Source organism: Homo sapiens, chromosome 1 (assembly GCF_000001405.40).
Source record: "Homo sapiens chromosome 1, GRCh38.p14 Primary Assembly".
Taxonomy (NCBI): domain Eukaryota; kingdom Metazoa; phylum Chordata; class Mammalia; order Primates; family Hominidae; genus Homo; species Homo sapiens.
The window spans coordinates 181,027,615-181,042,459 of record NC_000001.11 but is presented as its reverse complement, the minus strand read 5'-3'; the positions used below and the strand labels follow the sequence as shown (position 1 = coordinate 181,042,459).

Here is a 14,845-nt window from a genome sequence, read left to right as displayed (position 1 = left end):
GGAGGCCGAGGTGGGTGGATCACCTAAGGTCAGGAGTTCAAGACCAGCCTGACCAACATGGAGAAACCCCATCTCTACTAAAAATATAAAATTAGCCAGGCATGGTGGCGCATGCCTGTAATCCCAGCTACTAGGGAGGTGAGGCAGGAGAATCGCTTGAACCTGGGAGGTGGAGGTTGTGGTGAGCCGAGATCGCGCCACTGCACTCCAGCCTGGGCAACAAGAGCGAGACTCCATCTCAAAAAAAAAAAAAAAAAAATTATCTTTGATTCAAGGGAAGGCTGGTGAATGGAGAGTTGAACTGCAATCTGGGATCTGCAAAGGGTACTATATATATTCTGCAATTGATTTTGAAATAGTTCTATTTTTTCACATCTGGAAAGTTTTGTGGCTACACTGGAGGTACACAACTGTCTAAAGAAGGAGGACCCAAAAGGAGGAACAAGTTGTGAATATTAGTTCTCACACTTCCTTAATATTGATTTGTATATCCAATGCTTCTTCTGTGCCAGCCACTCTTCTAGGCCCTAAGCTTGTACCAGACCAAACAGATAAAAATGTCTGCCCTCATGGAGTCTACACCCTAGTCGGGGGAAGGGGAGAAGACAGACTAGAAAATAAAATATATAATTTTTTTAAAGTACAGTGAAGAAAAATAAAACTGCAAAGAGGAATGGGCAACACTATTTAAAAAAGGAAGGCGTATTAAGGAAGGTTTCCCACAAAGCTGAATTCTGAGCAAGTGCCTGCAAGGAGTTGGGGAGACAGGCAGGTGTCTGGGGACAGCAGTCTGGACAAGAAGGGCCATGCAAAGGCCCCTGGAAAGAACATGCCTGGCACATTCCAGGAGCAGCACAAAGGCCTGTGGCTGGAGTTGAGGGAGTGAGGGGAAAAGAAAGAGGGAGGAATCACTTCCATAGTTTTTCATGGGAAAAAATCCCCACGGAGAGCAGACTCCAGACAGAGAATGTGGAGAGGAGAAAAAAGAAGGAAGAAAAAAAGATGCTGTGTTGCTGAGCTAAGCTGGGTTGGTGTAGAACATCCCCTGGAATCTGGGTTTTCTATTTTTATGATCTCTGAGGTCTACATTCCTGATAGATGCCAACAAGCAAAAAAACCTCCAGTATTAACAACTTGGGGCATTAGTGCCCAATAGCAGGATTTATTCCAGTTAAGTATCACCAGCATCATCTCCAAACATAATATTTACAATTCATGTAACTTTGCTTTCTTATAAAAATGTAATTTTCACAAGAATTTGCATTATCTGAAGTTAAAAGAGGTAGATAGAGAGAAATATGGTCTGTTGACAATACTGTCCAAGTAAGTATTGTGCTTTATTTATTTATTTATTTATTTATTTATTTATTTATTTATTGAGACAGAGTCTCACTCTGTCACCCGGGCTGGAGTGCAGTGGCACAGTCTCTGCTCACTGCAACCTCTGCCTCCCAGGTTCAAGCGATTCTCCTGCCTCAGCCTCCCAAGTAGCTGAGATTACAGGCGCCTGCCACTACACCCAGCTAATTTTTTTATTTTTAGTAGAGATGGGGTTTCACCACGTTGGCCAGGCTGGTCTTGAACTCCTACCTCATGATTCCCCCTGCCTTGGCCTCCCAAAGTGCTGGGATTACAGACATGAGCCACCGTGCCTGGCTGTGTCTTTCTTTCTTTCTGGGTTTTTTTTTTTTTTAACTTCAATCTAATTCTGATGCCTGGTTTTGAAACAGTTGTTCTCCACCAGCCAGCCTTGACTTCAAAGTCCAGGCACCTAAAGGCTGGACTTGCTTTTTCAGTCACACCCATCCACCACTGGTTCAGCCCAGCGTGGCTCTGCTCCAGGACATCACAGTCCCTTCCTCTTCATTTGCCATGGGCCCAGTTACCCATCTGGTGCCTCCACAGGAACAAGTCATGCTTGCTCCTTAGCTGGGCCTTTAAAATGTTACCTCTGCTGTGGTGGGAAGTTGATTGACACATGTTCAGTCAGTAACTCACAACAGAAAAGATGAGGAAAAGTCCAGGTACCCTCTCTCTCCTAGTACATTAAAACTTGTGATAATTTATATCCCACCAGGATTTGTTGCAGACATAATCAGATTTCGAATCATTTGGAAAGGCCAATATTTTACCATTTTTGACCTATAAAAATGGCAATTTCATATCATTTGATCTAATCTTCCATTTCTCTTTTCTCGCCCTAATAATTTTGAAATTAAGTCTCTCTCTCCCTTTCCATGAACAGATAGATCATCAGCATCAACTCACTTATTAAGCTGAAATATACAATTTAGAATTTGGTATTCTGTCTAAACCAGTCAAGCTACTTCTCAAAAGGCATCTCCTGCCCAGTCTCATCAGCTTCTGACAGATAGTGCTGGAGAACCCGAACGACACAACCAAAAACTCTTAGGCTAGGTGCAATGGCTACTTGATAGTTCTAAATCATGTTCCCTTTAACCTGTCCATTAACCAGTTGGGCCATTCTTACAAAAGGCTGTGAAAATCACTGGATTGTAAAATAATTGATGAAGTGTTTTCACTTCATCCATGAGGGCAATTTTTCTTTTCTTTTTTCTTTTTTTTTTTTTTTTGAGATGGAGTCTCGCTCTGACACCCAGGCTGGAGTGCAGTGGCATGATCTTGGCTCACTGCAACCTCTGCCTCCTGGGTTCAAGCAATTCTCCTGCCTCAGCCTCCAGAGTAGTTGGGATTATAGGCGCCCACCACTACACTCAGCTAATTTTTGTATTTTTAGTAGAGACAGGGTTTCACCATGTTGGTCAGGCTGGTCTCGAACTCATGACCTCAGGTGATCCACCCACCTCAGCCTCCCAAAATGTTGGGATTACAGGCGTGAGCCACCGCGCCCGGCCTCATGGGGGCAATTATTTATTTAGTGTCTACTATGTACAAGGAATTGGAGGCAATGTTAGGAAGAGAAGAACAAATCAAATACCAGCTCTTTCCTCCAGGAACTTACAGTATTATTGGGGAGCTAAAGCACATAACAAATAAATGAATTCCACCACACACGGCAACAAGCAGCAAGCGCCAGAAAAGAGTACCAATGGAGTGCTCCAGCCACTAGGAGAAGAGAGACCGTGGTCCCATGAGAAGGGATCCACTGGGAAATGTTCCAAGGAGGTGGCAGATCAGATGGGCCTTCAATGAGGCATAAAGGGCAGCAGCATCTTAATCATAGTCATCACAACTGTATTTGTTTATTGAGCACATACCTTGTGTTAGGTACCATTTTAAGCCCTTGATAAGCATGGGTTTCACTTATTCTTCTAACAAACTTTTGAGGTAGGTCTTATAATTCCAACCCACAGATAGAAAATAGGTGCAGAGAGGCCGGGTGTGGTGGCTCATGCCTGTAATCCCAGCACTTTGGGGGGCCAAGGCAGGCGGATCACCTGAGGTCAGGAGTTCAAGACCAGCCTTGCCAACACGGAGAAACTCTGTCCCTACTAAAAATGCAAAAAATTAGCTGGGTGTGGTGGCGCATGCCTGTAATCCCAGCTACTTGGGAGGCTGAGGCAGGAGAATCGCTTGAACCCAGGAGGCGGAGGTTGTAGTGAGCCGGGATCACGCCATTGCACTCCAGCCTGGGCAATAAGAGCAAAACTCCATCTCAAAAAAAAAGAAAAGAAAATAGGTGCAGAGAGATTAATTGCCCAAGATCATCCTCAGAATCCATAAGTGAAGGAACCAGGAATCACACTGTGATCTCTCCATGGGAAGTCCCTCTACCTTGAGACTACCCAACCCTCCCTAGTGTAGGGGAAGCTTTCCAGGCCAGGCTTCTAGCCCCTGGATTATCACTGCTCTCTCCTGCCCCCTTGTGTCAAGGATGACTCACTGCCTCTGATTTCCCAGTCCCTGGGGCCACAGGCTCCAGACCTTCCTACACACAGGTGGCCGTGAGTCCTGATTGGATAACCAGGTCAACACAGTCTGATTATTTATTGGCTCTCTCAAGAAGTCCAATGCCTTAATAAGGTCAAAATGATTATGATTCCTGGGAATGACTCTTTAGAATTTCGAGCATCGTGGGAATGAGGGGAGAAGTAGGTGGCAATATTTTTAGTTAAGGGGACCTTTGGACACATCTCAGGCCATGTTCATGGATGGTTCTATGTGCAGCAAGAACCATTAGTCCCCTCTCCTAATGACATGTCTAACTAACTACAGGAACTTAGAGCATAAAAGTGGCGACTGTGACAAGTTTGGCTTGTGAGCTACTCTTCTGAGGCTACCCTTTTGAAGGTTGCCAATGTCTCACTTCATATAGGTATATTCTTTTCTGAATGTCCAATAAGCACAGTCCTAGCTGCTGGAAACAGAGCAATGAACACATGAAAGTCCCAGCCCTGTGAGATAATTTCTAGACAGGAGATTGGCAATAAATACATATATAATACAAGGTCAGGTGGAGATAAAGATTATGAAGAAAAGTAAAGCAGAGAAAAGAGAGTGTGGAGAGGAGAAGGCCTGATCTTTTAGATAGAGGGACCACAGCAGGTGGCATTTGAGCAGAGATGTGAATGGAGTAAGAAAGTGAGCCCTGTAGGACTATGTGGAGTTTTGGAAAACGAATGAATGAGCTCTGGTGTCTTTTTTCCCTCAGTACTCTCTGTACACAATGATGACTATATGTCTTATGTTTCCCAGAAAATCCCGATTTTATAAATTTTATTTTTCTAAAATGATCCTTTGAAGTTATAACAAAATGTGACTTAATATGTATACTCTTGAAAGATTTTCCCCGATAAATATAAATTCATACATCAGAAAAAACATCCTTTGTCATCTTTCTCAATTTGAGTTCCCTAAAATAAGTGTTCAAAGAGTCATGTGTTTGATCTTTAACTTAGGCTCCTTTCCTCCAGCTCTTAGCAATACTGTGGGGTAAGAGGATTGGGGTCAAGTGAGAATAGACAGATATTTCAACTAGTCAAAAGAAAAATCTACAAATTAGTTGAATTTCTCAAGTTTAGATAGATTCAATGCCAATTAAGAAGAGGGCCTTAGGGGAGTGAAACATTGTCTTGGAGAAATTTCTATGGCATATACCTTGGCAACAGCTCCATGGAAACAGACTGAAGTCTATCTAATAAAGTCTAAAGAAAAAGCCCATATTTTCTCATGTTAACTCTTTGAACTCAAGGTCACTTCTAAGCAGATAATATGCAAGTCTGTTTTTTAACAGTAACCCAGTTGGCAGCTTAGGGAGCTTATCCATCATCAGACCTCGCCTGTGAAGGACTCCACCATTCATGAAGTAGATTGATATAGCAGATTTATACAGCCATAAAATTATGAGTAATATCAAGAGACTGACCTTGGTTATGTCGAGATGAAACATACAAATCACATATGGCAATGCATGAGAAATCTCATGCCAGCCCCCAGTCTGATTACACCCACCCATATCGCCAATTCACAGTTTCACACAGGCTGAAATGAAGAACAAGATGAGTTGTAAAAGCATGAAACACCTTTTTAATACAAATCCTGCAACTACAGTAAGCCACAGTTTTGAATTTGCAGTCGTTATTACTGCCCGAGCTCTCTATGGCTCCCAGTCAAATAACTGTGATTTCTTAGGGACATTACCTCCGAACATAAATTCACTCAGCAAACATTTACTAAGTGCCTGTTGGGCACTAGGTATACCAGAGAAATAAGAAAAAAATGAAGATATCTCTTTCTGTCTTTAAGGAGAGCCTCAAAGAGAAGATTTTTGTAAATGGAAAATTACAGAACTGTGAACAGGAGCCATGGGAGCACAAAGGAAGGAGGAGTCAACTGCAGGCTGTGGAGTTGATGAAAGCAACACACTGAAAGTGATATTGGAGTTATGTTGACATTTCCTGGAGTAATGACCCACAACCCTGCAGTATCTCTTCCCCGTGTTTCCCCATCTATTACTGGTATATAGCTCCCACTCAGGGCTAGCACTAGGCATAAATATCAAGTAGACTGAGTCTTCTTTCATAATCTCATATCCTTTTCCAGCCAATATCCCTCAAAGCCCAGGAATGTTCAGTTAGGGTCCTAGCAGGAAACAGCCTTCAAGCCAGATGGGTCATGTGAGGAGACCTTAATGAAGGGACTCCTTGCAGAGATATGGTCAAGGTTAACGGAACAAACAAGGATGATGGGCATCTGCAGGCTAACAACTATGGGAAGCCATTATCACCCCTAGGGCTTAAGAGATAAGAATAGCAAATACCGTTACTGAAGCCCAATGGGAGCTAGAACCATGAAGAAGGGGTTATTCAGGGAAGACAGCATTACAGAAGAACATAGCTACTGCCAAAGACATCACAGAAAGTGGGGAAGGAGCAAGAAAGATGTATCCCAGCCTCTCTTTCCTCCCTGCTCTCTGACATCTCTCCTTTCAGTGTCTCCCATTGTATGAACCCAAGCAGAAATCAGCTTGCAAGAGAGTCTAGGTGATGCAGTCTAGCAGTCAGCCTCAAGGACACAGAACAGAACAGAGAAGGATGCACTCTAAGGAGTCAGAAGGAGAACAGCCAGCACCAAGTGACCTTCCCTTGCCTTTATAACTTACTTGTTTTATTTCCTGTCCCCCCAATTATCAAAGTGACAAGTCTTCACACCCAAAGGAGCAATGACATTGTGGAACAGCCCTGGACCGAGGGCCAGAAGATCTGCAGTCTCCTTCAGGTTGCTCCTTATGTGAGCGTGGTCACTCTCTAGGCCTAGAGAAAAATCTAGGCCTCATCTTTAAATGGGGATATTTTCTTCACCTACTACAAATAGTCAGTGAGATTGTCATAGGAGATAATATGTTTAAGGAATATTATTCCATATTATTGGAGAGTTCTTTGAGAATCACATGCAGGTAATATATAAGCTTTATTATTTCCAAAAATATCACCCTTTGCCTCTCTCCTCCTTTCCTCTTTCATCTTCTGCCTCTTACCCTCACCCCCAATCTTTCCCATAAATGATGACACTTTCTGGATTAAATTTTCATGGAAGCAGAGACTATGTTTGTCTTGTTCGCTGCCATATCCCCCAAAGTGCCTGGCACATAGTAGGCCATCAATCAATATTTGAACAATTAATATATGGATTTTTTTTTTTTGAGATGGAGTCTCACTCTGTCACCCAGGCTAGAGTGCAGTGGCATGATCTCGGCTCACTGCAACCTCCGCCTCCTGGGTTCAAGTGATTCTCCTGCCTCAGTCTCCCGAGTAGCTGGGATCACAGGTGCGCACTGTGCACAGCTAATTTTTTGTATTTTTAGTAGAGATGGGTGTGCCGAGCTAATTTTTTGTATTTTTAGTGAGATGGGGTTTCACTATGATGGCCAAGCTGGTTTCAAACTCCTGACCTCAAGCGATCCGTCTGCCTCGGCCTCTCAACGTGCTAGGATTACAGGTGTGAGCCACCACTCCCAGCCATATGATTTAAAATTTTTTTATTTGTATAAATTTATGATGTACACATGCAATTTTGTTATAGCATAGATTGTGTAGTGGTCAAGTTGGGGCTTTAAGGTATCCATCACCCAAGTAACACACATTGTACCCATTAAGTAATTTCTAATCATCCACCCCCCTCGCCCTTCCAAATCTCCATGGTCAGTCATTCCACTCTCTATGTGCATGGGTGATTTGAAAGAACTCCTTCCTCTCATGTTCATCAGTCACACCTATGGTGGTGGCCAAGTCTAAGTTCTGGACACTGCCCACCAGTACCAGTCCTCAGCCCAGGGAGCAAGTGATTAGGGCAGAGAAGCCTGGTGGTTCTAGCCCATGGGCCCTTTCCCCTATTTGAGGCAACAGAAGGCATTTGCTTCCCCAGTGACTTGAGCTCCCCGAATAATGAAAAACTCTCCCTTCTACTTGATTAATACTTCTCACAGTCAGTAAACAAACCCAGAGCCATGGTTTTATCTTTCTTGGATCTTTTATTACAGGTAGGGCTTGTGTTGAGGAAAAACATAAATAAACCTGAACAATGGATCTACTCCACTGTTAATGCCCCTGAAACTCTGACTACATCCTCATGAGACTCTGGAAGTTAGAAAAGAGGAGAAACAAAAGTAAAAGAAAAAATATGAGCAGAAAAGAAAGGAGGCCATGCTCAGAGGGAAAGTGAGGAAGTTCCAGAGTCTTTCTAGAACGGCTCCCCCTCCCTCAGAAGGTGGTGACATCAAAATCCTACAAATATGAACTGGGAAACTGTTCAGGCAATCCATTGCTCCTGGAGTCTGAGTGTAATACATACACGTTTCTGCCCCTGGCTTCTATATTTTTCACCACAAGTTTTAGGAAGAAAAGCTGTGCCTTCTAGGCTGCCTCGACTTTGGAGTTAGGAGAGAAGAGGACGTGGGATACTCACGGGAATCGCTGTGCTTCACCATTAACACAATGATGAGAGGTAACAGGAACGCCATCAGTTCCCCCATAGTCCTTCTCTTTCCGGGTTCTTTTAACCAAAAACTGACAGGTCCCTTCTGAGAACCTCTTGGTGACACACAAGGCCTTCTCCCAATAAGAACAGGGGAAGATATGCAGTGTCATCAGTTGCTAGGTTAAAAAAAAAAGATAAAATGAAAGCATGAACACCTTCTTCGGTAACTTTTAAGTCTTTGCTGGTTTCAGACACTGCTTGCTCCTTTTGGTGTATCTATCTTCACCCTATTCCCAATTTTTAAATATTTATGGAGCATAGTCATGTTCAAAGCACAGAGAAACAAAGATTAATCATATCTGGTCAATCAGGGAGCTCAAGCTGCTGCCTCTGCTTCCCTGGAGCTTAGAATTTTGCTTAAGGGTCAGTAAGAAAGAGTCACAGTTCCCACGGCTTGGAACTCCCTGCTCTGGCTCCCTATGATGCTGAAGTCTCTGTCTGAGATAGCAGGTGTCACTTAGATTGTCCCGTAATCTTCAACTTAGGTCTGTCCTCCCTGCTACTCTAGCACCCAGCACAATAAGCTCAAAACACTTACTGAATAAAAGAAGGCAAGAGAAAGGCCTACAGAAGATTCTGAGGGGCAGCCACTCAGCTTGCTCAATCAGCAATCCCCAAGATCAAGCTGTGGCTACACTGTCATAAGGAGCACATGACAAGCTGGAAAACAGCAGCTTAAGCTTGTCCAGGGAGCTAGGGAACAGGCCCAGACAGGAAAGAGGAAGTAGACATGAAGGGGAGAGGTGAATGGAGGCATGGCCATGAGGCAGGCAGGCTTGAGCTGGGTTCAGGGACCTGGGTTTGCCTCCCCACTATTTGACCATGGGCAGAATCCCAAATTGCACCAAGGCCTGATTTCTTCAACTTTAAAAGCAAATCCTGTCATATATTTCACAGAGTTGTTGAAGGATCAGAAGTTCTGTTTATGATGCATTTAGTAGGTAGTAGAACCTTATGTACCGGTTGTATGGTAGGTTGAGAATTGTCGCCCCAAAGATGTCCACAACCTAATTGCCAGAACCTGTGGATATATTACCTTAAATGGCAAAAACAAAATAAAACAAAACAAAACCCTTGGCAGATATGATTAAATTAAGGATCTTGAGACAGAGAGCTATCCTGGATTATCTGGTGGACCCAGTGTAATCAGAGGGGCCTTATTAGAGGGAGGCAAAAGGGTCAGAGTCAAGGAGATGTGACAATGGAAGCAAAGGTCAGAGTGATGATGCCATTGCTGAAAGAAGGACATGAGCCAAGGAACGCAGATGGCCTCTAGAACTAGAAAAGAGAAGGAACAGATTCTCCTTAGAGCCTCCAGAAGGAACACAACACTTTGATTTCAGCTGATAGGACACATTTTTGGACTTCTGTCCTCCAGAACTTTGAAAGAATAAATTTGCATTGTTCGAGGCCACTAAGTTGGTGGTAATTTGTTATAGCAGCAACAGGAAACTAATAGGTCTACCTTTACCCAGAATAAAATAAGAAGCCAAATAATGAAATTAACATTTGGCAATCTCTCAGCGGCCCCTGGCACCTTCTCTTCTCAGATCTTTGTATTTCTCTCTTCCTTTCCTTTCTGTTTCTTTACATTGTTTTTCCTTTTGTTACTCATTTAACAAATACAGTCACCTGGATTTCTCTTTTGGAAAACTCCCCCAATATTCCCAAATGTCTCTCAGCACTGGAATTCCATGGCCATGTATTTTTTCCTTTGAATTTTTGTTAATATCTTGTTCCAAAATGCATTCCATACCATAACCTGCTGTACTGACATTAAAAAGTAGGTATGAGGCCGGGCGCGGTGGCTCACGCCTGTAATCCCAGCACTTTGGGAGGCCGAGGCGGGCAGATCACGAGGTCAGGAGATCGAGACCATCCTGGAACATGGTGAAACCCTGTCTCTACTAAAAATACAAAAAATTAGCCAGGCGTGGTGGTGAGTGCCTGTAGTCCCAGCTACTCGGGAGGCTGAGGCAGGAGAATGGTGTGAACCCAGGAGGTAGAGGTTGCAGTGAGCTGAGATTGTGCCACTGCACTCCAGCCTGGGTGACAGAGCAAGGCTCCATCTCAAAAAAAAAAAAAAATGTAGGTATGTCAACGATGTCTTTCTTTTTTTTGAGACAGAGTCTCACTCTGTCGCCTAGGCTGAAGTGCAGTGGTGCCATCTCGGCTCACTGCAACCTCCGCCTCCCAGGTTCAAGCAATTCTCCTGACTCAGCCTCCTGAGTAGCTGGGATTACACACCCAGCTAATTTTTGTCTTTTTAGTAGAGATGGGGTTTTCCCATGTTGGCCAGGCTGGTCTTGAACTCCTGACCTCAGGATCCACCCACCTTGGCCTCCCAAAGTGCTGGGATTACAGGCGTGAGCCACCACACCTGACCGATGTCTTTCATTTTTTAAGTCATTGTATTCTAATTGCAAATTAGTAAATTTAATCCAGAGTACAGGGCAAATACATATAAAAAACCCAGAGAGTGATAAGATAAAAATCACCCATCAGAAAAAATTGCTGTTGGCCGGGCATGGTGGCTCACACCTGTAATCCCAACTTTGGGAGGCTGACGTGGGCAAATTGCTTGAGCCCAGGAGTTCAAGACCAGCCTGGGCAACATGGTGAAACCCCTATCTGTACTAAAAATACAAAAAATTAGCCAGGTGTGGTGCATGCGCCTGTAGTCTCAGCTACTTAGGTGGCTGAGGTGGGAGGATTGCTTGAGCCAGGGAGGTCAAGGCTGCAGTGAGCTGAGACGCCACTGTACTACAACCATGGCAACAGAAAGAAAGAAGGGAAGGAAGGAAGGAAGGAGAGAGAGAAGGAGGGAGGAAGAAAGGAAAAAATTTGCTGTTAACATATTTTAGTGTATTTCTTTTCAGTGGTTTTGCTGACTACATATGTCTGCATATAAGCATACCTTTATTTGTTCATTTTACCAAAAAAGGGTTTTACGTCCTAATAGTATTTTGTAAATTCTTTTCAAATTTATATTTTCCAATATTAATATGCAGTTTTTAATAGCATAGCTTTAATAGTCCTTAAAATTTTTAATAGATTCAATTATGCCAAGATCTTCAAGGACAGGTAAGACTGCCCCACTAAGCTGGGAGGCACTGAGGTAGGGAGAATCCCTCGCATTCTCTTTGTGGAAAAACAAGCCTCACCTCTGAGCAATAGTCTAAACTTAAATCTCAGGCCGCACTTTTCAGAGTGGGTTGTGCTTATCCTGTTCATTATAAATCCCTTTATGTGTTTGGCTTTTTAATACCTGATTTATTATATGTATTTTAAGGCCCCTCTGAGGAATCTGACTCATTTGCAGTTAGTGCAATTCATCCTTAAAAACCAAATGATGAATTATCAAGTTAGCAAAAGGGTCTTGTTTGTTAAATAATGTTGTTTTCAACATAATATATTTTATTATATTTAATCAGTAGTTTCCCCTTGGCTATTTCTTTTTTAATTCAGTAGAAGTGTGTGTGTGTGTGTGTGTGTGTGTGTGTGTGTCTGTGTCTGTGTCTGTGTCGAGTTTGATTTGAGCCCTTTTCTGTGGGTAGGTAAAATCCATTTGCCAATTTTTGGCCAAGGCTAGTCCTTGTACAAATGGGAGTAGAATACTGTAGCAAAGAACATGGGTTCAGGAGTCAAACTTATTTTCAAATGAGGCTCTGACATTTCCTACCTATGTGACCTTTGACCAAATTATTAACTTCTCTAAGTCTGGGATTTCTCATAGAAAATGGAGGTAATAACCAATTCTGCCTTACAGGATTATTGTGAGGATTCAATGAAATCAGCAGTGGTGGAACCAAGAAGTGACTTGTCACTTGTTGGGGCATTAGAGTACTTTTACTACACACGCATAATGGCCATCAGCTGTCTTAAGTAATCCCAAATAAACCTATAATTTAAGAAAAGAGGCCAGGCGCAGTGGCTCACGCCTGTAATCCCAGCACTTTGGGAGGCCAAGGTGGGCAGATCATGAGGTCAGGAGATCGAGACCAGCCTGGATAACATGGTGAAACCCCGTCTCTACTAAAAATACAAAAAATTAGCCGGGCGTGGTGGTGGTCGCCTGTAGTCCCAGCTACTCGGGAGGCTGAGGCAGGAGAATGGTGTGAACCTGGGAGGCAGAGCTTGCAGTGAGCAGAGATCGCACCACTGCACTCTAGCATGGGCGACAGAGTGAGACTCCATCTCAAAAAAAAAAAAAGAAAAGACAGGGGTCTCCCATGCCACATCAAGTCCCCTAGCCCTGCTGTCCAACCAAATTACATTCTAAAACCTGCCCCATATGGGGATTCTGGAGCTTCTGAAGATAATGCATGTGTGTCACTGTATTTGTTTTCACACTGCTGACAAATACATACCCAAGACTGGGCAATTTACAAAAGAAAGAGGTTTATTGGACTTACAGTTCCACATAGCTGGGGAGGCCTCACAATCATGGCTGAAGGCAAGGAAGAGTAAGCCACATCTTATGTGGATGGCAGCAGGCAGACAGGAGCTTGTGTAGGGAAACTCCACCTTATAATACTGCCAGATTTCATGAGACTTATTCGCTATCATGAGAACAGCACGGGAAAGACCTACCTCCATTATTCAATTACCTCCCACCAGGTCCCTCCCACCACAACACATGAGAATTCAAGATGAGATTTGGTTGGGTACACAGCCCAACCACATCGGTCACTTAGCACAATGCCTGGTACATAGTATGTAAATATTAGCAATCACTAGTACTATTATTGCAATGAGCCAGTTTACCAACACAGATTGATTTTTCTTTCCTTATACACAGTCACATTCATAAAGGATGGTAAAGAACATACCTCCCCTTCCTATAGTGGTTCAAATCCACCGTCTTGTCAAGAAATTCACTGAATTCCAATAACGTATTTCAGCTTTTTAGTACTCACCAATTTCCATTCATTCAGACCCTCCTAACTTGCCTTATTCTAAACAGGATTTAAAACTGTTATTTATTTATTTATTTATTTATTTTTTTGAGACAGGGTCTCACTGTCGCCTAGGCTGGAGTGCAGTGGCGTGAATATGGCTCACTACAACTTCTGCCTCCTGGCTCAAGTGATCCTCCCACCTCACCCTCACGAGTAGCTGGGACCATAGGCATAAGCCACTACACTTGGCTAATTTTTGTATTTTTTTTTTGTAGAGATGGGGTTTTGCCATGTTGCTCAGGCTGAAAACTGCTAACTTTTGATGTACTTTTTCGTATGTGGTCACTTGGCTTTTCACTTCTCTTTTATTACTTTTTCTCTTCTTTTTAAAAAACTTTTTGGATTTCTGACTATCCAAGTAAATATTTCACTGTAGTAGTTGACAAACTTTAAATAGATTTCTTTTTTCCTACGTGTAAAAATTTTCTATGTACCAAAACATTTTAATGTATAAGAAAGAACAGAGCTGAAATTGTATCATATGTATAATTTTGTGTCTTGCTGTTTTTACTCAAGCCATTCCTATGTCATTACATACTTTTAAACAACATTTCTAATGACCACCAAATGGATGTTCCACAAATTCTCCATCATTCCTTAGTGCTGAATATGTAAATTGACTGGAATTCCTCCTTGTTTATTTTAAATCAGTGTGTAGAGGGTGACAGTGGTGGAGGTGTTGGTAACAAACAGGAAGAGGAAATAAATCATGGCCAGTGTGTTTTGGATATGTGTATGGATATTTTCTGTGGTTGGAGGTAGGAAACATAGACAGTCATAGCCAGATCAATGGAACTTAACATAAGTGGAATGTTCTGGAATATGTACATGTATATCAGGGTTTCTAAAAGGTTGGATAATGATGAAGAGTATGATATCCTATATCTATGTTAACACTTTTCTCCCTTTCTTTACCTTGTTTCAAGAAGGATTTAGGGTGAACTCAACAAAAACAAAACAACTCAATCAAAAATGGGCAAAGGACTTGAATAGACATTTCTCCCCACCCCCCAAAAAAGATATACAAATGGCCAATAAGCACACGAATAGGTGCTTAACATCACTAATTATTAAAGAAATGTGAATCAAAACCATAATGAGATACCACCTCACACCTATTAGTACAACTGCTATAAGGGAAAAGAAAACCCAGAAAATAACAAGTGTTGATGAAGATATGAAGAAATTGGAATGCGTGTGTCTTTTAGCAGGAATGTAAAATGGAAAACAATATGACTGTTCTTCAAAAAAATTTAAAATAGAATTACCATATCCAGCAGTTCCACTTCTGGGTATATATCCAAAATAATGGAAAGCAGGGTCTCAAAGAGATATTTGTACACCAGCGTTCATAGCAGCATTATTCATTATAGCCAAAAGATGAAAGAAAGCCAAGTGTCGTCCACTGATGGATGAATGGACAAGCA

At 42.5% G+C, this 14,845-nt stretch overlaps 1 protein-coding gene across 11 annotated transcripts in view, besides 3 other annotated features; it reads right to left on the bottom strand.

The window, feature by feature from the left end:
• MR1 (major histocompatibility complex, class I-related) overlaps window positions 1-9,073 on the bottom strand; it is a 28,552-nt gene extending 19,479 nt beyond the window's left edge. For 6 of the 11 annotated variants that reach the window (NM_001531.3, XM_047418899.1, NM_001195000.2 and 3 more), the window contains exons 1-2: window positions 8,996-9,073; window positions 8,386-8,573 (exon numbers count right to left, since the gene is read on the bottom strand). In NM_001531.3, the coding sequence (NP_001522.1) occupies window positions 8,386-8,452 (67 nt within the window). In that variant the 5' untranslated portion in view covers window positions 8,453-8,573; window positions 8,996-9,073. Of the gene's footprint in view, window positions 1-5,347; window positions 5,464-8,385; window positions 8,574-8,995 lie in introns of those variants that run through there. The other 5 variants (NM_001385161.1, NM_001385162.1, NM_001385164.1 and 2 more) reach the window with 2 other exon arrangements.
• Window positions 8,568-8,677: an enhancer, noted in NCBI's record as "active region_2168". NCBI's record gives its function as "activates an Ori minimal core promoter by ATAC-STARR-seq in GM12878 lymphoblastoid cells {active_cell/tissue: GM12878}" and the evidence as "EXISTENCE:reporter gene assay evidence [ECO:0000049][PMID:35858748]".
• Window positions 8,808-8,907: an enhancer, noted in NCBI's record as "active region_2167". NCBI's record gives its function as "activates an Ori minimal core promoter by ATAC-STARR-seq in GM12878 lymphoblastoid cells {active_cell/tissue: GM12878}" and the evidence as "EXISTENCE:reporter gene assay evidence [ECO:0000049][PMID:35858748]".
• Window positions 9,108-9,297: an enhancer, noted in NCBI's record as "active region_2166". NCBI's record gives its function as "activates an Ori minimal core promoter by ATAC-STARR-seq in GM12878 lymphoblastoid cells {active_cell/tissue: GM12878}" and the evidence as "EXISTENCE:reporter gene assay evidence [ECO:0000049][PMID:35858748]".